The sequence below is a fragment of the Homo sapiens genome, chromosome 3, assembly GCF_000001405.40.
Source record: "Homo sapiens chromosome 3, GRCh38.p14 Primary Assembly".
Classification (NCBI taxonomy): domain Eukaryota; kingdom Metazoa; phylum Chordata; class Mammalia; order Primates; family Hominidae; genus Homo; species Homo sapiens.
Window position 1 is genome coordinate 162161367 of NC_000003.12, and position 24105 is coordinate 162185471.

At 33.9% G+C, this 24105-nt stretch overlaps 1 long non-coding RNA gene across 1 annotated transcript in view; it reads right to left on the reverse strand.

The window, feature by feature from the left end:
- Positions 1–414: 414 nt before the first annotated feature.
- Positions 415–24105, reverse strand: part of LOC107986048 (uncharacterized) — a 32992-nt gene continuing 9301 nt past the window's right edge. Inside the window, exons 2-3 of the long non-coding RNA XR_001740570.2 lie at positions 14160–14242; positions 415–507 (exon numbers count right to left, since the gene is read on the reverse strand). This is a non-coding gene — a long non-coding RNA (uncharacterized LOC107986048). The remainder of the gene's footprint in view (positions 508–14159; positions 14243–24105) is intronic.

The window sequence follows — 24105 nt, forward strand, 5'->3', positions numbered from 1 at the left end:
GTCAGTCCTACAATTTTGTTCTTAAATACTGAGCTTATCATTCTGAGTCTTTTGCCTCTCCCTATAAAATTTAGACTTGATTTATTAATATTCCCAAAGTAACATGCTGAGATTTTGATTGGGATTACATTACATTACATTTATAGATCAAGTTGGTAAGAACTGACATCTTGACAACATTGAATCTTTCTATGCATGTACATAAAATATTTCTCCATTTATTTAGTTTTCTTAAAATTTCTTTCATCAGAAGTTTGTAATTTTCTTCATATAGATCTTGCACATATTTTGTTAAATGTATACATAAGTATTTAATTTTGGGGTTCCTAATACAAATGGTAATGTTTTTTAAATTTCAAATTCCACTTGTTTATATCTGGTATATAGAAAAGCAATTGATTTTTGCATACTAACCTTGTATTGTGCAATAGTGCTATAATATTAGTTCCAGGACTTTTTTTTAATGTTGATTCTTCCAGATCTTCTATATATAAATGGTCATGCCATCTGTGAAGAGATACAATTTTATTTTGTTTTTCACAGTCTGTATACCTTTTCTTTTCTTGTCTTACTGTATTATCTAGGACTTCTAGTATGATATTGAAAAGCAATGATGAGAAAAGGCATCCTTACCTTGTTTCTGATCTTAGCAGGAAAGCTTTTAGTTTCTCAGCATTTAGCATGATGTTGACTTTAAGTGTTTTATAGATATTCTTTATTAAATCAAGGACATTCCTTTCTATTTCAGGTTTTCAAAGAGTTTTTATCATGAATGAGCAGGATTTTGTCAAATGCTCTTTCTGCATCTATTAATATGATCATGTGATTTTTTTCACTCTTGTTATTTAGCAAAAAGATATGAAAAATTACATAGTTTACTTTTGAATGTTTAACTTGTCATGAATATTTGGAATAAAACCTATTTAATCATAGTGTATAATTATTCTTATAGATTGTTGGATTCAATCTGTTATTTTTGAGGATTTTTGCATCTATACTTATGAGAGATATAGGATTTTAGTTTTTTTTTTCTTTTGATATCTTTATCTGACTTTGGTTATTAGGGTGATACTGGCTTCATAAAATGAGTCAGGAAACATTCCCTTTGCTTATATCTCTTAGATGTAAAGTATTGGTGTAAATTTGTACTGAAATATTTGGTAGAATTCATAAGTGAATCTACCTTGGCATGACGTTTCCTGGTTTGGAAGGTTTTTAAATATTGGTTCAATGTATTTAATAAATATAGGCCTATTCAGATTGTGTCTTTTTGTGTAAGTTTTTCAAAATTTAATTTTTCAAGGTATCAGTCTATTCATCTAGGTTGCCACATCCCTGGGCACAGAGTTGTTCATAATATTCCTTTATTATCCCTTTAATGTTTGTAGAATAAATAATAATGCCCTTTCCTTTATATCTGGTAACAGTTTGTGTTTTCCTTTTTTATCTCAGTTAGCCTGTCTAGAGGCTTATTTATTTTTATTGACATTTTCAAAGAACCAGCCTTTGGTTGTGTTGATTTTCTCTATTAGTTTACGGTTTTCAATTCACTAATTTCTGCTGTAATTTTTATTTTTATTTTTTTCTTTCTGCTTACTTTCTTTCTCTCTCTCTCTCTCTTCCACTCTCCCACCCTCAGTTTCCTAGGGTGAAAGCTTAGATCATTAATTTTAGATGTTTCTTCTTTTCTAATATATGCATTCAATGCTATGAATTTTCCTCTAAGCACTGCTTTCACAGTACCTCACAAATTTTGATGTTTTAATTTAGTTCGAAGTATATTTAAATTGTTCTTGAGATTTCTTTTTTGACCGGTGTATTTATCAGTTTGTTGCTTAGTCTCTAAGTATTTTGCATTTTCTAGCTATCTTTCTCTAATTTATTTTCTAAAACAATCACTGGAACTCTATACATGTATAACTCCCTGACAGTAGATGATTCTTTGGACTAAAGCTCACTATCTTTATTTTAGAAAAGATGTAATCTTAAATAAATAGTTTTAAGGATTCTTCCTGGGTAATGTGCTATAGTTTACTTGAATATTGTCTTTGGATTTTGAAGCCTTTCTGTATATTATATGAGTTAATGTCTACAAACTCAAAATAGAATTTCCCGATTGCATTAGACAAATTTCTAAACAAGCAAAAACCAATCTTTTTTTTAATTAACCATTTTTGACTGTGCTTGATGTAAGTAGGTTATATATTTAAGATATTTCTTGGTGAGTTAAAAGAAGGGAACTAACTTCCTAATCATCATAGCTCAAATAACAGTCGTAATTTTCTCAATCTGTATTACTGATGCCTATCTCTAATAACTGTATTTATACAGTTTAGGTGCCAATTAATATTTATACAGTTTAGGTGCCAATTAATATTTCAAAATTTTTAAAAAGTGAAATGAATCATTTAATTAGTATTCACAAACTTTTTAAAATACAAATTGCCAGATTTTATAGTGTCTTTAAACTTAAACTTTGAATCCTTTCTCCACAAATTGTTGTCCTTCTAGTATTTTCTCCACAAATTATTGTTCCTTCTCACATACCTGTAGATCACTGCCATTTTTTTATACAGTACTGTAGATTTTCTTGCCCCGTTGAGAAAATTAAGGACTAATTCCATATTTTATACCCAGTCACTGTGAATAATGTATCCCATTTACTTCATTTTCAGCTTTTTTGGAGGCACATCGTTCATACACAATAATTTTTGTGCATGTACTATGTACCAGATATTATATTAGAAGCTTCTATGTCATGGCAGGCAAAGTCTCTGTCCTCATGGAGCCTATAGTCCAGTAGGGAAGATAATCAGCAAATATTGTAATTTCAATAATGCTTATTGGATTTGATGATTAATCCAAAATTAATATGCTCCCCAAACATGTCCTCTTGTTTTTCACTGGTCTTGGCAGGAATGCCTTCTTTCTTGACAAATACTCTTTGCTGCATTTGCAATTTAAGTCCTATATTGCATTAAAATTCTAGCTCAGACTGAACTTCCTCCATTAGTTATTTCCAAATTTCCACAGAAGAGAATCAATCATCCACACTCCTGTTCCTGCATTATAAATCATATTATATATTACCACACTAAGTATCATATATTTGTCTTCCCTCCCAGAACTTTCCCTCTAGATCATTCTTAACTGAATTCAACATGCGAATCACATGTGGGCTTTAAAAATGTCAATGTCTGTCCCAATGGTCTGCTGGTAAATGTTTAAAAACTAGCTCCTATGGGAAGGAGAATGGAAGGGGGGAATCTCTGATTTGTAGCATTTGTAGATTTCTGTAGTTTAAATGCTCCCACCACGGCTTATTTCAGCCTATCAAAAGGACACCCCTGAACATGGAGCAGAGAAGAGATCTGCAGTAGCAACCATTGCATTGTATTTTAAGCAAATTCTTAAGCCCACCTCAGACCTATTGACTCAGAAACTGTGGGAGTGGGGCACAGTGATTCATGTATTAACAAACTTTCCAGGTGATTCTGATGCATGCTAAAGCTTCAGAACCACTTATCCAACATAATACCTGGCATGTAATAGAATCTTAATGCATATATTTCGAGTTTGCTTGCATCAATGATAATGTAACCAGTTTCGTAAACATCATTTTATTTACACTAACCCCCTTATCCTATCTGATCTTATGCTTTAGACAATAATAAAGAAAGTGATTTAAATAAAAATAATGTATGAATGATCATGGGATGGAAAGTGAATATTATTCTAGAGCTTAAATTACTCAAAGGAAAAAAATCTGCACTAAGTTCAAATTGTAGCTGTGGAAAATCTGCATTGTGTGAGGTCAAATACTCTGGCCAAAGAGCAAACAAAGTCTCCTCAGTATAGAGTCACATGCAAAGTGAACTAAAAAACAAAAGACAAAGAATATGCCAATATCTCAGCTTATATTTTCTCACAACTGTGACCCTAGGTTTTTGGTAAGCTGAGAAAAATTTTATTATTCTGTCTTACCTCTCCTTGATAATTTACTAGCATAAATATTCACAATCAAGCATTGAGAAAAGAACAAGAAAATCCTTGTATTTTTTCAACAGTTGTTGAAAAAAGATATGCCATTTAAATAATGTTATATGTAACTTGATTAGTCAGTAAATCTTTGTTGTGAGAGAGCATGCTAACAGAGCAGAAGAGAAAGTAAAAGTATCAGTCTAATCAGACAGCTTTTTATGTCCTTTCCTCAAACTGAAGCTGTCTACTCTTGTGCCCCATTGGCATTTTAAGTTTTATATTGACATTTAGTAAACTGCCCTTTGTATATTTGCCTTACCTTAACCACTAGACTTATTTAATTCAAAATTTCTGGTTTCCTCATAGAAATGCATTTCCAATAATCTTTACCCACTTAGTGTGGAATAAAAATCGAATCTCTCCACAGCCAGTGCAGTTATGTGTCTTTAAGCTGCTTCTTCCCAAACACACACACACACACACACTCTCACTCACACACACTCACACTTACTCTCACACACACACACTCAAAACCACCAGCATCAACTCCACTGTAGCCACAACGCAGCATCAGAATGCTTTCTTTCTTGTTGTCTTTGGGTTATTTAGATTCCACTTTGGTGAAATTACTATTTTTAGCTTGCCAGTTGAGCTCATTGATAATTAACTCTGGCTATATTAGAATCGCCTTGAGAAGTGGCTTCAAGTGTCAAAAACCAATGTTTGAGCTGCACATGAATCAAATAAATAACAATATCTGAAGGTGAGAACAAGGCATGTGTATCTGTTATGTGTATGATGAATATTTGCAGCCTTCCTTGAGAACCACTGTATGCATGGCATACCTGAACAGGAATGTCATTCTACTCAGCTGGACAGCCTGAGCTGGGCACCAATGCTGACATACCAAAAGGAAATTGAATCCACCTGTGTGAAGAATGCCTCCTTAAAAGCTGAGTGGATCCCTTTAGCTTGGGGTACTGCAATGCCAACTAAAACATTAGTTTATAATGTATAAACCAACACTGTGAAAGTAGTTATTTCTATTTTATTGTAAAGTTGACTAAATCAGATTCTAGGTAGTCAAGAAAATATGGAAAATCCAAATAAAAACACTCAAAATGTGTCATTGTTTTCTCTCTCATCAGTGATATAGTAATAAAACTGGCATCCTGGGTTGGGAATTCTACTCCTCTGTACATCTGCTTTCCAGTGGACGTTGGTCTCCTTAGGATATCTTATAACCCTTGAAGAAGAACCTTCATCCCAAGCTCAAAAAAAGCCTAAAAGTAATTCACTTACCCCAATCTCTTACCCAACTGGATGTTTACACAGGAAATCTCTGATTCATTCATAAGACCTAAACTAAAATTACGACGTCCAGATTGCAATAGACAAAGAAGGACAAAGTCTATCTATTTTCTACTTTTCTCAGCTTGGTTCCAAGTCAGCATACCTCAGGATATATTTTCTACTAACAGATACAAAGTAGTTACTCATCTTGCATAGTGGTTTCTTTGACTTAACTCCTCTGATTCTTGATTTCCTTATCTTAATGTACCAATAGTAACATCTAAGTCACTAAGAATTTTGTAAGGATTAAATTAGATGATGATGAATACTACCCAATAAGTGATGACTATTGGTTGGAGAAAATATGGTCATAGAGAAGTATCAGGAAATAGAGACAGCTCACAATAAACTAACAGAAAGACACAAGACAGATAGTAGTCTTCTCTAGTATATGTGATATCTGGACTCCTCAATTTGATATTCGTATAAAGGACAAGATGAATTATTTCCTCTTGTATAGAAGAACAGCAACCCCCTCTGCTCACTCACACACACTCACCATCGCAGTGAAGCCAAAACACTAAATACTGTCATTTCAAGATGGTCAGTGAGGACAGGTGCCAGTTAAGTAGTCAGAGGTGGTGGGATGCCTTAAAAACTTTTTTGCAGAACTTCCCAGAATAATTTTAACAAATAGTATCCACTGTAATACACGTTGAAAGCATCGTGTGCTCCTTCATTGAGTGTTTTCCAGTTGTAAGTTAAATAATTAATTGCTTAATTATTTGTGCAATTTGGTGTTCCCTAGATTCTAATATGTCTGAGGGCAGGGATTTTTGTCTGTCTTATTTATTGCCGTAACCCCTGTGCCTGACACTTAGCAGTTCAGTAAGTGTGATGAAGAAAATAATTTTGAAACCCTTCCACAACTTTTTCTTTTTTTCAGGATATATTCTATTATAATAGTGTTTAAATATTTAATTTTAATTTTATTTAGTTTTCTTGATCAAGAATGACTAGGGGAGTGTTATTGTTGTGGTGGTGGTGAATTGATTTTTTTTAATTGCTATTTCAGAAGTCTGTGTATATTCTGGAGGTACAAGTTTCCTAACTGCCTCTGCTAAGTGCATCTCTTAAAATGCTATCACAATATGACCTTATAAAAGTGTACTCCTGGGAATGAATATTTTCTTTGACTACAGTTGGGAAAATATGATCTCTTAGCTTCATTACTATTTGTAAGCACCCCCACCCCCAACTTTAGGTGAAGACATTTACTCTATGGGTGTTTGCTCGGTTCCATGGTAAAATCCCCTTTCATTTTTCTTCTGCATGCCAACCTCTACTCTAGGTAGCCATTAAGAGCTAGTTGCTTCCTCACTGGATAATGGTTATTTTAGTATTCTTGTGAAGGTAGCTGTTTTCAAAAACTAAAGGTTTGTATCAAAACAACTTAATCCATGATTGTAGACAGCTTACATGTTCTTTTTGACCAGCCACCTCACATACATTTGACTATTATTTATGACTTTTCCTTTATAAATTTTTGAAACAAACTTTATTTTTAGGCCTGTTGAGAAGCTTTATTTCCTCAAGAACACTTTAATTCTCTTGAAATACTAGAATTTCAAGCATTAAAATATAACAAAATAACTTTATTACGTTTCTCAGTGTCAAGTTTTGGCCACATAAGTATAGGAAACAAAACATTTGCTGAGGGTAATATTGCTTTGGGAAGCACCTTTAGCCATGAATAATGTACATAAAACTGTTATTTTGCTGAACTGTAAAATAGTGGATGAATATTCACTATTTATTTTGTTAATATCACAAAATGGTATTAACCTACAGATGTCTGAACAAGATAATTCTAAATTCTTTCAACCATCATCTTTTACAGATTAGCAATGTGACTTTATGTAGTCCATCAGAATATATCGTGGATCCAAAGTAAGTTCTAGAAAATGTTACTGTATAATTTTTTCAAACCCCATATACTTCAAGGGAAAATATCTTTACTACTGAATATACTGAAATAGTATTTCTATTCCATTCTTCATAGGATTTCATATTTGTTGTACATGTATTCCCTGAGCATGAGACAGTATCTACCCAAAGTAGAATAATTATTCCTCCTTATGGAGAAATGATCTAAGAAAATCTCTGGGGATTTTTCTAAGTAAGTGCTATTTTTTCAACCACAACTAGAAAAATATATTATGCAATCGGCTATTTTCATATAATTTGCACAACACTTAAAATAAATAGGACAAGTTGAAAGCTGCCACTTGCCTTGGGAAATCAGGACATTTAAAGAGCTTAGTGAACCTCTGGCATAATTTCGTGTTATTTTTTAGTTCTCTATAAGAGGAGTAAATTTCATAAGTCCCCTTTCTTTCACAGTACTACTATTTTTCTAACATTTCAATTTCAGTGAAAACTTTGATTTTTTCATATATGCAATTATATTTCTAATAAAAATGTAGCTTCTGGGGAAGCAAGTGCCTAGATCACAGAGGTTCTTGAAGGCCATGGTAAAATAAATCTCAGAAGACATGATACTTAAAAAATTTAACATGTTATTCACATATATTATATGATATATAGGATGATTACCATTAGAAGATTATGCATTATATAATTGGAACTCTAAGTTAATTTGCAGTAATTCATGTTTATTGAAATGGGAGGAAAAAATCTGTCTTCTGGGTGGGGGAAAGAGAGCACTTCTGAAGCTGCAGGTACCTCCATCTCTTTGTTGTGTATGCAATATTCATCCTGCTCTTAAATACAGAAAAGAAAAGTTACTAATACAATTGATCAGAGTCAATAGTGCCAATTGAGCCACAATTATTGACTTGCATTTTGTCTATGAATATACTATTATTTTGCATTTGAAAATGCTACCTTGAATTCAAGTCAGCCCCTGGTTCTGTTTTTTGTTTGTTTGTTTGTTTGTTTTTGTGTTCATTGTTTTTGTGTCCATGAAGCTTCAGTCATCACATTGACTTGTCTTCTCAGTGCACCTATCATTATGGGCTCTTCATCACTCTGCCTCCTCTGGTACTCAGAAATAATCAGAAGAAAGGATGGTCTTAAAGGTCTCGTTTTGAGGAAGAAAGTGGCATTTATACTTTGAGACAAGGTTTCCATGGGGAGACAATGGGAAGATCTTGCTTCTCTATTGTACATCACACATGTGGACTCATGACAGTGGGCCAAAGTGGAGTTCAAACAATCTGTGCGCTGCCCTGGCAACTATACCATTTTAATCTCATAAGAGCCCTCTCTAACATTTACTCATTGTGTAAATTATTTTGAGGGTTTTGAGGAAAGGATTAATGACTAAGACAAAGTCCCTTTCTTCAAAAAGTTTTCAATCATTTCCTTCCTCCCTCCTTTCTTTTCTTCCTTCTTTCCTTGCTTTTTTATTTTCAGTATAGCAGGAAATGAAAGCATGAAGAAAACCATTAAAAATATACCTATGTTAGAATGTGATGAGTATTAGAGGAGAGGTACAGAAAATTTTCAATGACTACTTATATGAAGAAGAGAATCCCATGGTATGGAAAGAAGAACAGAGGTTTTGAAAGAGAAAGTTTTTTTTCCTAAGTTGCATAAATTTCTGGCCAGTCCTCATGGCAGGGTAGTATTCTGTAGTGAAAAACATGATATGTAAAACCGTGGGAGCAAGAAAGAGAAGAGGTTCAAATTCTTTAGAGGAAGTCCTACATGAATTAACAAACCATTAGGATACAAATTCTTTTAAAGATAACATAGGAAAACTCAGGATCAGACAATGAAATCAGATAGGAACACATTCCATATATTATTTTAAATAATGACTTAGTAATTTAGAGCTTAGCGGGTTCTGAGCTTTAAAGGTTTCTGAATTATAGGCTGATCTTTGGGGAATAATTGTTTCTAGTAACAGTTTATAGAATTAATTTAAAGTGTGGATGCTAGAGACAAAGTGTTTTTCTTTTTGTTATACTGTGTTATGTTGGTTGAATAAGCAGTGGAAAGAGTGCTGGAATTAGGGAAATGAAAGAGCAGCTAGAATGGAGGTGCTGTAGATGTAAAAAGGCCTTACTTATTAACCTACTGGAAACGATGAGTAGGATAATAGAGGAAATGAGTCAAAATAGACTTTACTATTTTAAGTCTGGGGGTCTGAGAGAACAGTGATGCATTCAGTGGAAATGCAAAAGATTGGAGGTACAGCTTAAGAGGAGCTCAGTTTAGGACAGACTGAATTTAACATGCTTATTAGCTATACAGATGGAAATATCAGTAAATATTGTTGCTCTGATGTTCCTGAATGAATGAGTGTATCAGCTGTATGTTTTGGTGGCCTGTCAAGCTCATTTTCTTTTCTTTAAGAAAAATAATCATTGACCTCTCTTAACACACCTCTCTTTGTTTTTAGTTTTTGATGCAGAGTCTTACTCTTTCACCCAGGCTGGAGTGCAGTGACGCCATCTAGGCTCACTGCAACCTCTGCCTCCTGGGCCCAAGTGATCCTCCCACCTCAGCTTCCTAAGTAGCTGGGACTACAGGCGTGCACCACCATGCCTGGCTAATTTTTGTGTTTTTTTGTAGAGCCCAGGTTTCATCATGCCGATGACTGGTCTCGAATTCCTGAACTCAAGTGGTCTGCCCTCCCCTGCCTCTCAAAGTGCTGAGATTACAGGCATGAGCCATTGCACTTGGCCTGTTTAAAGACCACTCTGAAAGCACTGCTGAGTAGAGAGCTGGCCATGTAACTTGCCTCTCAGCTATAGCTGAATAGATACCTGGCCCAAGTTAGGCTAAATAGGCATCTCTCCTAGGAACCTGAATTTGGGTTTCATAGACATTTCTTATTCTTTAGTTTTCTGTTTAAAATTGGCTTGCAACAGCAGTATGTACACAAAGACTGAGAAATATGCCCAATAAGTAAACAACAGTATTAAGTAATACAAAGAAGTATAGATATGGGAGAACATAGGGAATCGGAGAAAAATGATGTTTTGATAACATATATATGCAAGCAAATTCCCTATGATCAATCAATCTTAATGTAGAAAAAAGTGAATATAGGCATAGCTACTTATACTTGTTTGACTGTATTATGCTTTGGAGACATAGTGGGTTTTTTTGCAAATTAAAGGTTTGATGCAACCTTTCTTCAAGTAAGTCTATCAGTCTTAGTTTTCCAAAAACATATGCTGATTTTACGTCTCTGTGTCACATTTTGGTAATTCTCAACATTTCAAACTTTGTCATTATTATTATATCTTTTATGATGGCTTGTAATCAATGTTCTACTACTCTAATTGTTTTGGGCCACCATGAATCAGGCCCATATAAGGCAGTGAAGTTAAGTGATAAGTGTTATGTGTTTTTCAGTTGCTCTGCTCACTGTCCATTCTCTCATTTCTCTCCCTTTCCTCGGGCCTCCCTATTCTCCAAGATACAACAATATTGAAATTTGCCAACTAATAACTCTACAATGGCCTCTAAGTGTTCTTGTAAAAGCATGAGTCACACATCTTTCACTTTAAATAAAAAGGTAGCAATGATTAAGCTTAGTGAAGAAGGCATATCAAAAGTCAAGACAGGCTGAAAGCTAAGACTCTTGTGCCAAAGAGTTAGTCAAGCTGTGAGTGCAAAGAAAAAAAAGTTCTCAAATATAATTAAAAGTGGTACACAAGTGATAAGAAAATGAAACAGTCTTATTGCTGCTATGGAGAAAGTTCTAGCAGTTTGGATAGGAGAACAAACCAGCCACAATCCTCTGTTAATCCAAAGCTTAATCCTGGCAAGTTCTGAAGCCTCTTCAATTCTACGAAGGCTAAGAGAGTTAAGGAAGCTGCATAACAGAAGTTTGAATCTAACAGAGGTTGGTTCATGATGTTTGAGGAAGGAAGCAATCTCCATAACATAAAAGTGCCAGGTGAAGCAGCAAGTGCTGATGTAGAAGCTATAGCAAGTTATCTAGAAGATCAGAATAAGAAGTTAATTGATGAAAGTAGCTGAACTGAACAACAGATTTTCACAGTAGAAGAAAGAGCCTTCTTTTGGATGAAGATGCCATCTAGGATGTTCATAGCTAGAGAGGAGAAATCAGTGCCTAGCTTCAAAACTTCAAAGGGCAGGCTGACTCTTTTGTTACTGACTAATGCAGCTGGTGGTTTTAAAATGAAGCTGATGTTCATTTACTATCTCCAAAACACTAAGACCCTTAAGCATTATGATACTCTACACGTGCTCTATAAATGGAACAGCAATGCCTGGATGACAACACATCTCTTTACAGCATGATTTATTTAATATTTTAAGCCCACTGTTGAGACCTACTGCTCCAAAAAACATATTCTTTTCAAAATGTTACTGCATATTAAGAATGCACCTGGTCACTCAAGCGCTCTCATGGAGAAGTACAAGGAGATTGATGTTGTTTTTATATCTGCTAATACAATATTCATTCTGCAGCCCATGGATCAAGAAGTAATTTAGACTTTCAAGTCTCATTATTACAAAAAGTTTTGCAAGGCTATAGCTGCCATACATAGCGATTCCTTTGATGGATCTGGACAAAGTACAATGAAAATCTTCTAGAAAGGATTCACCATTTTAAATACCATGAAGAACATTTATGACTCATGGGAGGAGGTTGAAATATTAACCTGAACAAGAGTTTGGAAGAAGTTGATTCTAACTCTCATAGGTGATTTTGAGGGTTTCAAGACTTTAGTAGATAGGATAAGTCACTGCAGATATGTTAGAAAGAGCAAGAGAATTAGAATTTTAAGTGGAACCTGAAGATGTGACTAAATTATTGCAATCTTATAACCAAACTTGAATAGATGAGGAGTTTCTTGTTATAGATGAGCAAAGAAAGTGCTCTTTTAAAAAAAAAAAAAACAGAATCTACTCCTGATGTCTGACATGCTGTGAATGTGAATTAACAACAAATAATATAGAACATTAGATAAACATGCTTGATAAAGTAGCAGCACAGTTTGAGAGGACTGACTCCATTGACTCCAGTTTTACTTATTTATTTGTAGATGAGTTCTCACTATGTTGTCCAGGCTGGAGTGCAGTGACTATTCACAGCCATATAGTGCACTACAGCCTTGAACTCCTGCGGTCAAACAATCCTCTTTTTCAGCCTTCTGAGCAGCTAGAGCTATAGGCATGCCACCATGCCAGGCTTGACTCCTACCAATACCAAGGTTGGGCCCCAAGAACTATATTTTTGCTATGCAACCATAACAGACTCAGAGTTACCTATATTAACCAAGATGGGTTAATTCCCAGTTCCTTTTGCATAATTTGGATCTATTTCAACTTAGTGGCACTGAGAAGAGATGTGATTGTGGCTTTTTCACCTATATTGTCTAGTGGATATTATTTGAACTTGCCAAGGTCCCTAGCACTAGCTTAGATTCTGCCCCTCATGATAGTTGGTTGGGACTTGGATCCTGTAATTTAATTTAGTATCTTTCCATTAAATTTCTTGTTTATTCAAGCAATAATTATTTTTTGATACATGCAAGTAAAAGAAACATATCTAATTCAGTATATGAGAGTATTTTTTTTTTTTGAGGCAGGGTCTTGCTCTTTCACCCAGGCTGGAGTGCAGTGGCGTGATCTTGACTCACTGCAAGCTCCACCTCCCGGGTTCACGCCATTCTCCTGCCTCAGCCTCCCGAGTAGCTGGGACTACAGGCGCCCACCACCATACCCGGCTAATTTTTTTGTATTTTTTTTAGTAGAGACAGGGTTTCACCGTGTTAGCCAGGATGGTCTGGATCTCCTGACCTTGTGATCCGCCCGGCTTGGCCTTCCAAAGTGCTGGGATTACAGGCAAGAGCCACCATGCCTGGTCAGTATATGAGAGTATTAAAAAATAAAGTTCTAATACAAATGGATGTTTGTCAATGGACACTTGATAACCATGCACTTTCCATGTACCAACTACAGAGCTCTATGTAAGCCGTTATTGGGGTTACAACAAGGTAATATGGCATTAATTTCAGCATTTATTTTACATCACTTTCCAGTTTTTGAGGCCCTATCCCTTCAATTATTTTTTTGTCTTCACATTAGTTTTACTCACATTTCACAGATAAAAAATGTTAGAGTAAGGGAGTTTATATGACTTACCCAGGATGATGTGAATAGGTAGTGGCAGGGGTGCTTCATCTCCAGGTTTTCCCATTTCAAAACTCATTTACTTATCTCACTGTATCCATAGTTATCATTTCAAATGGTTATAAAGCATTTTCTAGATATTAATACTTTAATCCAATTTAAAATTAAATAAATTTTAAAAATAAAGTAGAATAAGTCTATCTTAATAGCTTTTAATAAAGCAATGACAATTTGAAATTCATAGAGCTTTAAGATTTTGAGTTAGAAATACTGAAAATTTCTTCATTGTTCTCACATCCCTTACTTAAAGACCCTGCCTTTTCTATAACTTTTGAGTTTGTAGCCCTATGAACTATGTAAACTCAATCCTTTGAGTTCATAGTTTATAAATTTAGAGATCAGTGTTTAACTTAAGCCAGATATAGTTTTATTCTACCAAGATCTTTTATTTAGGGCATACACTAAGTTCTAAGTTCTGCGCACAAGGCCCGTAAGGTCAAATAGACTCAGGAGCTGAGATGGCAATTTAGGGTGGCCATGATGGACAGTGTGCAAATTGCTGAATCAGCTGAGAACGCTAATATGCAAAAACAAAGAAGGTAAATAGAGAAAAGAAGAAATGACAGATCATTTAACTCCAGGGAGAAAGAGAGGGAGAGCAAGAGAAAGTTTATGATGTGATTACTGGTGTGGATGTTTGTCTCCCAGGTATCTTTCTATCAAGGTTGAGATTTACTCACTGTTCTTGCATTCTAAGCGAAATTCCTGTATCCTTCCTTCAAATTCCCCTTGGTTGGAATGGATTTCTGTAATAACATATTCTCTGTTTAAGAAAAAAAAATACTCTAAGATAAAGGGATATTCAGCCCAATTTTCATTTAAATATTACATAAACAAATGGCCATAATATATAAAGTGATCTATCAATAATGAATGAAATGCAAGTTTGTGTCTCTACACATTTTATTTTAAATGACATTCTGGATACTATCTTCAACTTACAATATAAACAATATAAATTCCTTTTACATCATTATTTATAAAATAATGCATGAAATAATTTCCTATTTCTGAAGTACTGCCAAACAAAGTATAAACAGCCTTGTCAAATCATAAATATTGACTGTATGTGATAGCAGCTTGGTAGTTCTCCAAACAAAGGTATCATGTTGCCCTCTGAATTAGATTCCTAGGAGCTGCAATAAACAGCAAACAGGATGGCTTAAAACAACAGTAATTTATTTCCTCACAGTTCTAGAGGCCAGAAGTCGCTGAAGACACTAGGGAAGAATCTGTTCCCTTCCTTTGTCTTAGCTTCGTGTGTTGCTGGCAGTCCTTGGCATTCCTGTTTTGTAGATGCATCACTCTAATTTCTGTCTCTGTTGTCACATGGTGTCCCTTCAGTGTGTCTCATTCTGTCTCTTCTCCTTTTCTTATAAGGGCACCGTTTCTATTGGATTTGTGCCTATCCTAATTCAATATGACCTCATCTTAACTTGAATTCACCTGCAAAGACCCAATTTCCAAATAAGATCACCTTCATAAGTACAATGGCTTAGGACTTCAACATATTTTTTTGGTGGACACAATTCAACTCATAACACCTTCAGGAGAAGGGAAAATCATGCTAAACAGGTAGTAAAAACAGATATCACTAACAGAAACATTACTCCTCCTACACAGAAAATGCTTCTTGGCATTAAAAACAAAATTAAATATAATATGATAAATAATAAGCAATATGGACAGATCGAAATTATCTTTCCATCTTCCGTGGTAAGTAAATATATTGTTTGAGTTTCTCAGGTAACAACTGCCTATCACAGAAAGAAGGGAAGGATTGATAGAAGAAGGAAACACACTTCCTTATCAACTTGACAAGGTAAAAGCTATGCTACTGAGTTTTTGTCATCTAAGTGAGAGTAAATACTAGATTATGATACATAGGACTTTGATGTAAAGGATCTCATTGCTCACCAGGTCAACTTACAAGTGGCCTGATACAGTGACCCACACATGACACTGAATGAGAGTTAGCATGTGTTCAAAGGAAAGAGGCTGAAATCTGAGCGGCTTGCTGACTCAAATCACTCTCTTGTACCCTCTGTCCATACTTTCATTGAGAAAATGGCTTAAAAAGAACAAAAAAACTGCATTAAAAAATGAAGAAGGAATGAGATGATGTCCTTTGCAGGGATGTGGATGGAACTGGAAACCATTATCCTCAGCAAACTAACACAGGGAGAGAAAACCAAACACCGCATGTTCTCACTTATAAGTGGGAGCCGAATAGTGATAACACATGGATCCAGGGAGGGGAGCAACACACACTAGGGTCTGTCTGGGCTGGGGGTTGGGGGAGGGAGAGCATCAGGAAAAATAAATAGCTAATGCATGCTGGGCTTAATACCTAGGTGGTGGGTTGATATGTGCACCAAACCACCATGGCACACATTTACCTATGTAACAAACCTCCACATCTGGCACATGTACACCAGAAATTAAATTAAAAAATAAAGCAGTCATAGACAGTTTTAAAGGACTAATTATGCTGTGTTCCAATAAAACTTTAATTACAAAAAAAATGAGAAAAAGAGCAACAACCACAAAATTAGCAGGGGACTTAAGGAAAGATATGTAAAGATGAGTCAAAAACAAAATGAACAAGACAACTAAAACAGAGATAAAAAGCATGCATGATAATAATTTTATAACAATGCAGATGAGAAGGATGGTCAAGGGTTAACAATGGAGTTTTACAGGAACACTGACTAATCAGAATGGGCACCAGCCAATCAAAATGGACCCTTATGTTTTCTGGAGCTTAAAGGAGACATCATTCCTGGTGACGTGGAATAAAGGAAGAGGTGATAAGGCATGGAAACAGATGAAATGCCAGCTGGAATATGTCCGAATACGTGGAAATATAAGAGTTATAATGTCACTTTAGAATCTGACTAAAGAATGGACAATGCTAAAAACAGGGACATTTAGTATGGATACGAGAAAATCAAGCAAAGTAAATGGGGGAAGAGTAATAGATACGGAAGAAAAAGGAGATTCAAAGTAAATAAAATTGAAGTTTCCTGAAGAAAAGGTTGGAATGTGTATTAAAGGTTATAGAGGACAACGTTCCTCATAATAAGTCTTATAAGGAGTTGACCAGGCACATTCAACATTGTTGGGTATTTTATTTATCTTTCTGGATATTAAAGAACTCTGTTGGAAAGGATACTTCCTTGAAACTGAAAAAAAAATTCTATGGGGGCATCAGGGCCAAAACTCACATTACATGTAGGAAAGTTACATCTCTATAGCAACATTCAATGGGAGAAGACAGTGGTATAAATTCTACAAAGTTCTTGGCAAGAGACATAGTGTGCAAGTCATACAAACTCATGGAATATTATTCATAAACTCTTCTTTAAAACAAACAAAAATATAAACCTTGATATTATATTCTCACCAATAAACATGAATAGGAACTCTATCTAACCAGCTTCAACCATAGAACTCTGGGGGAAAGTAGGGTGGAGGGAGGGGCAGGGCAGCATTCACTGCTGAGACCACATCCGAGTCATTAAGTCTCACTACTATCAATAATAATGCTGGCAAACTGCTACAGATTACCCCAGATCTTCTCAGACTCACAGTTACAAAGCAATGCTATTAAGCAATATGTTTCATGCCTTGAGTAAGGGTCAATGCCATGAAGGAAACTCAGTAAAGCATCACTGGCCAAAAAATCTACACCTGTTGAGGTAAATTCTAGCAGCACAGTTTCCATCCCAGTATTACTGAGAATTTTGGGGGGTTGTATACTCATAATACATACCTCCAAATCTTAGGATGCACGTATACTCAGTTCCAGATTGTCTTGCAGAATAGCTGCATCAATGTACACCCTCAATTACTACACAGGAATTCTTGACTAACCATATTATTGCCAACACTACTAGGTAATATTACTTTTCTACTATATAGAAATAAAATACTTTTTTGATGTTTAATTTTCTCATTTAACAACACAATATTTAATGATGATGGGGAGATTCAGCATTTCTTTACTTTCATGTTGATACTTCCATGAAATTGCTGTTCATCTTCTTTTATCCTTATACTGAATTTTCTATAATTATCTTCCATATTTTGAGAAGTTTTTGGTACATATTAATACCAACTATCTATTTTGTAGAATTAATCTCATAACTTGGAAATATTTTCTTTTATTTTATCTATTTTTTTCACTTTGTGATTGAATAGAACAGGCTCTAATTTTGCTATAGTCAAATCCTTCTTTTTATGTTCCCAGATTTTGTGCATTTGAGACCTTTTTGAATAAATCTATCCTATTCCTAAATCTGGTTCTTTTACCATTTTTTATTTCTAGAAAAATTTTATACATTTTAATGCACGTAAAGCCCACTTTTGTATGTATTTATATTAAAGAATAATTGCCTTTAGTATGCTAATTCTCCCAATATCAATCTACCAAGCAATCTGTGATTTCCATTGCTTTTTGTTATCATTGTTACTATAATTTCAAATATGTCAACTACATATCAGAACTCTATGTTTTATTCCATTTGTTTCCTCAAGAGGCGATTCCACACTATCTCCATTACTTGGACTTGGCATTATGGCTAATTATCTGGTATAAAGAATTTGTCTCTGTAATTCTCCTTTATTTAAGCTGGATTAGCTCTCTATTGAAATTTTTTGTCTTTTTACTTGTATTTTTCAATGAGCAATACACATTCCAGCTGAAATTGTGATTGAGATGTATTGAATCTGTAGATAAACTTGAGGCAATTGTCATTTTTTCCATGTTACATCATATTAACATTGTATATTATATCCCTACATTATTTAAATGTTCCTTTATTTCTTATATTCAAATTTTAACTTTTTTTACAGGATCTTTTATTTTCACAAATAAATTTAAACAGCATGTGTTTTATAACCTTCCTGTTATGCAATAAAGTAAACGGAATATGTGGAAATATATGACAGATGATAAATCATAATCAACATATATTTCTCAGTCCAAATACATTTTTCCTACTAATATTACCAATTTTACAGTTTTGTATAGTGTTTATATGCAATCATTATAATTTGTATATTTATATAATGTACTTATATACATTTATATTGAAATAATATAAATGTTTGTATAAAATAAATATATATATATAAACATGAAATAAATACTAAAATTACTTTATTCCCACTAGGTAAATGTAAACTGTTATTTGTCCATTTTTATAGATTTAAAATAATAGGGCTTTATACTGTTAATACTATGCTTAAATTGAAAAGATGAAGCTCCTAAAATATTATAAAATAATTGTGGGTAATTTTAATATTATGGTCATTATTTCTTTCCTTCTGAAAAATAAAAACTACAGTTAACATTATATGAGAAAAAAACTTGCAGGGATAAAAGTATGTCACATATGGCCAAATCTATCCATAATTAATATTTGCTGTTTTATAACCACTGGAATTCAATGTAGATAATTACCTCATAAGAATAAAAAGAATAGTTTGCATTTATGAAATGCAAATAAAATGGTTAGTATATGCAACATTGTATTTTCTGGCTGATAAATTTATAAAGAAAAATAACTGAAAAGATTTGGTGATAGATGAATACCTTACTCTTAGAAAATAGTATAAAGCATGAACTTATTTGACTTAAATTATGATTTTTAGGCACATAATTGTTAATTATTAATTTCTTTTGATGAAAAGATCAAATGGAATGAGTACAGAAAACTGTGATATTTATACTCTATATCACATGATAACTCACACATTATTTTGAGTTTGAATGTATTTTCGAATGATTTGGCTTCTTTTTTTGTTGTTTTAAAAAATTGCCAAAGTCACATAAACCTATGTTATAGCTATTTATTTTTATCTAGCTTTCTGGCCACTTCTTATTATGTAATCAGGCTTTTTACTCTCCTGGGATGTAAGTCTTAAAGAGCTCACAAACACATGTAAAAGGATTTAGATTCTCTCCTTGAGCTAACAGGTTATTCTATAGTTCCTTTTTCTTCTTTTTTTTGTCTTTTTTTTTGAGTCATAACTGATATCTGCTAACAGAAATTTTTCACTCACGTTATTTAAAATTTATAATTATTTTAAAGTAAGCATTTAGGCATCTTGATGTATACCGTACCAGAACATTGAGAACTAGAGACCTAAATTTGAAAAGCAATACTTTAAAATATTTAGAAGAAATATCTAAAAAAATAGACTTGTTGATTTGAGAAAACAAAATATTTCTTTAAAATGATTTTTTATTTAAAAAGCAAGCACAAATTATTAAAATATTGATTACTTTGCTTATAATGACATAATTTACATATATTTGTGCTTATAAATAAAGGACAAGCTACAGACAGGAAGACACATTTCCAAAAATCACAAAAACTAGGTTTGCAATTGAGAACTTGAAAAAATTTCTGAGTCGATTAAGAAAAAAACAAAAGGTAAATCATACATTGCAAATATTATAATTAGACAGTTAACAGTAAAGAAAAACAAATAGTCAATAAATGTATTATGCTGAAATTTATTACTAATTTTACTAATCAGGTATCATTTCACACCTATCAGAAAAAAGACCTGGGCATCTTGGCCAGTATTATGAGAAACAAGAGAAATTCTTACTTCCCCATGAGAAGTTTGAATAATATAGTATATATTCAAAAGCATGTGTTCTAGAATTAGTCCTTTTCTGTTTCAAAACTGTTATACCCCTTAGCTTTATATGCTTTGAGCAAGCTACTTATCTTGCTATGAGACAATGCTCTATGTGTCTCCTGCATTTCTGCATGTCCTGTGAGTAGAGCACTAAGTACTCTTCATTCAGAATTTTTGAGGATATTTAGTAAACAGTCTTTGAAGATACAATGTCTCCCTCTGGAACAAAGGGCAGGGCAGGCACACTTTTAGCCTATTATTAAAGGTTCTTGAAGCTCAATGTTCCTCTTCTATCCTGCAGCCCACTGCACATGCTGACATTGCATGACCCTTCTCATGGGAATTGGGTTTTGGGGAGTCACTGCAATAAATGCTGATACTATGGCTACTGTTATTGCTATAAGAAAAAAATGGTCCTTTGTCTAACCTAGAAGTCTTATGTCTTCTACAGGTGAATCTTTGGTAGACTAACTAGTGAGCTTGCAAGTGGGGTGACATCTCAGACCTTTACAATCCATTGCAAATGTCTCTGCTTAACTTGTTTTTATCATCTGTATAATGGCAGTGTGTGTGTGGAAATATTTTTTATTCATAGGACGGTAATATTTACCTAAATTAAAATGCAAACTGTTTAGAACAGTGTTTTGGTACCAAGTAAGTGTTCAACATTATTCTGTGAATGTGAAGTTCCAAAAACTATCCAGTAAATATTTTTCTCCCATTCTGTAGGTTGTCTCTTCACTTGGTTGATTGTTTCCTTTGCTGTGTTTTTCCTTGATATAATCCATTGGTCAATTTTTGCTTATGTTGCCTGTGCTTTTCAGCTCTTACTTCAATGGCTTTGCCTGGACAAATGTTCTAAAGCATTTCCCCAAAGTTTTCTTCTTGTAGTTTTCTAGCTTCAGGTCTTACATTTAAGTCTTTAATACATTTTGGCTTTAATTTTTGTATATGATGAGATATAGGAATCTAGTTTATTTGCTCTGTAGATGAACAGCACAATTTATTGAAAAAACTGCCCTTTCTTCAATGTGTGTTCTTGGTGTCTTTGTTGAAAATGTGTTGGTTGTAAATGCGGGATTTATTTCTGGGTTCCCTGTTTTGTTGCATTGGTCTATGTATCTGTTTTATGCTAGTTCCATGGTGTTTTGGTTACCAGAGTTTTATAGTATATTTTGAAGTCAGGTAGTGTGATGCTTCCAGCTTTATCTTTGTGTTCAAGATTATTTTGGCTATTTGAGGTCTTTTGTGACTCCAAGAGAATTTTAGGATTGTTTATTCTACTTTCGTGAAGAAGATCATTGGTATTTTGAGAGGAATTGCATTAAATCTTCAGATCAGTTTGGGTAGGATTAACATTTTTAACAACATTAATTTTCCCAAACCATGAACATGGACTATCTTTTCACTTATTTTGTGTCCTCTTTAATATCTTGCATCAATGTTTTATAGTTTTAATTGTAGAAATCTTCACTTCTTTGGGTAAATTTATTCTTAGGTATTTTTTGAAGTTATGTGAACAGAATTGCTTTCTTGATTTCTATTTCAGATTGTTCATTGTTGCCATATAGAAATGCTACTTATTTGTATATATCGATTCTGTATCCTGGAAATTTATTGAATTCATTTATCAGTTATAAGAGCTTTTTGGTAGAAGCTTTGTGTGTTCTTAAATATAAGATTATGTCATCTGCAAACAAGGACAAGGGATTAATAACTAAAATATATAAATAAGCCAAACAATAGCAAAAAAAATCTGATTTAAAAATGGGCAAAATATGTGAATAAACATTTCTCAAAAGAAAACATACAAATGGCCAACAGTTGTATAAACATGTTTAACATCCCTAATCATTAACAAACTGCAATTCAAAACCACACTGACATACCATCTAGTCTCAGTTAAAATAGCTGTTATCAAAAAGATGGAAAATAATAGATGCTGGTGAGAATGTGGAGAAAGGGGAATGCTTGTACTACTGGTGGAAATGTGAATCAGCATAGAAACTATGGAAAACACTATTGAGGCAGCTCAAAAAACTCAAAATAGAGTTGCCTTATGTTCCCACAATCTCACTACTGAGTATATATCCAAAAGGAAGGAAATCAGTATATAAAAGAGATATCCGCACATCCACATTTATTGCACAATATTCACAATATTCAAGATATAGAATCAACCTAAATGTTTACCAACAAATGAATGGATTAAAAATATGGTATATGTTTGCAATGGAATATTCTTTAGCCATAAGAAAGAATGAAATCCTAACATTTGCAGCAACATGGATGGAACTGGAGGACATTGAGTTAAGTGAAATAAACCAGGCAGAGAAAAATAAAATATCACATATTCTCACTCATATTTGGAATCTAAAAAATTTGATCTTATGGAAGTAATAAGTAGAGTGATGGTGACCAAAGGCGGGGAAGGGTGAGGTTGGGGTTGTGTGAAAAGAAGATAGTTAATGAGTATTAAAATACAGTTTAAGTAGAAAGTATGAATTCTAGTGTTCAATAGCACTTTAGGATGACTGGAGTTAACAATAACTTATTACATATTTTAAAGTAGGTAGAAGACAAGATTGGGAATTTTCTAATACAAATAAATAATAAATGTTTGAAGTGGTGAATATGCAAATTACTCTGGTTTTACACATTGTACACATGTATTGAAATATTATATGTATGCCAAGAATATTTACAACTATTCTGTATCAATAAAAATTACGAAACATTAATTACTATTTCCTTTCTATAGATGTATATATGTGTAATAACACAATTTTAAAATATGTAATAATGGACTCCAAATTAATTGTAGTTGTTAATGGGAGGTAAGAAGACAAATGGGATCAAGAGGCATTGTGCAGAGTGCTTTGGCTCTATCTACTCTATTGTAGTGTTTTTTTAAAAAGTCTCTGAAAACAACACAAAAAATATGTTAAGATTTCAAAAGGCTGACTGTTGTGAACATGGTTTTTTACTTTATCACTATATATACTCACATATATATTGAAAATATTTTATAAAATACATTTTTTAAATATATGCAGCACGTTATTTTGAGTGACAATTTTAGGACTCCAGAGTTGTTATTTTTTAAATGTGAAACAGCACATTTAGAAAAAACTTTCTACTTATTTGAAAGACAATCTAAACCACTGTTACCATTTTACCTATTTTCCTAGCTCTTTATTTTTATTCATAATTTTTTTTCCTGGCACCTCCTTAGCTTATTACATTCTGTGACAGTTGCAAAGATGATCATAGATTTTTGACACTCTTTACATCTTCTCCCTGGTCTAAATGACTTGCTTGTAATTACTGAATGCACCTGCAGGGACCCCAAGAGCAGGTCACTGATGCCATGCAGCTTCCACCCTGCTTGCTAGACTACCGACTCTTGGAACCCTGAGCTACCACGTAAAACATCAAAGTACTCTGAGTCTACTGTGCTGAGATTGACCCAAGTGCACGTTCTCTGGGACACTCAAGTCCAATGCCAGACATGTGAAAAGCATCATACATCTGACCCTTGCCCTCAGATATTTAAGTCATCCCTTTCCTCTCCCACTCCCATCCCACCTAGTCTCCTGAGTTTGTGTAGCAGAGAAAAACCATCCCCACTATGGCCTCACAGAATTCCTTTGAACATAATAGAATGTTTATTGTTGCTCACTGATATGGTTTGGCTGTGTGCCCAGCAAATCTCATATTGAATTCCCACCTGTTGTGGGAGGGACCTGGTGTGAGGTAATCAAATCATAGGGGCAGATCTTTCCTGTGCTGTTCTCGTGATAGTGAATAAGTCTTATGAGATCTGATGATTATATAAGGGGGAGTTTCCCTGCACAAGCTCTCTTCTCTTGTCTGCTGCCATGTAAGACATACCTTTCCCCTTCTGCCATGATTGTGAGCCATCCCCAGCCACAAGGAACTATGAGTTCTCCATTAAACCTTTTTCCT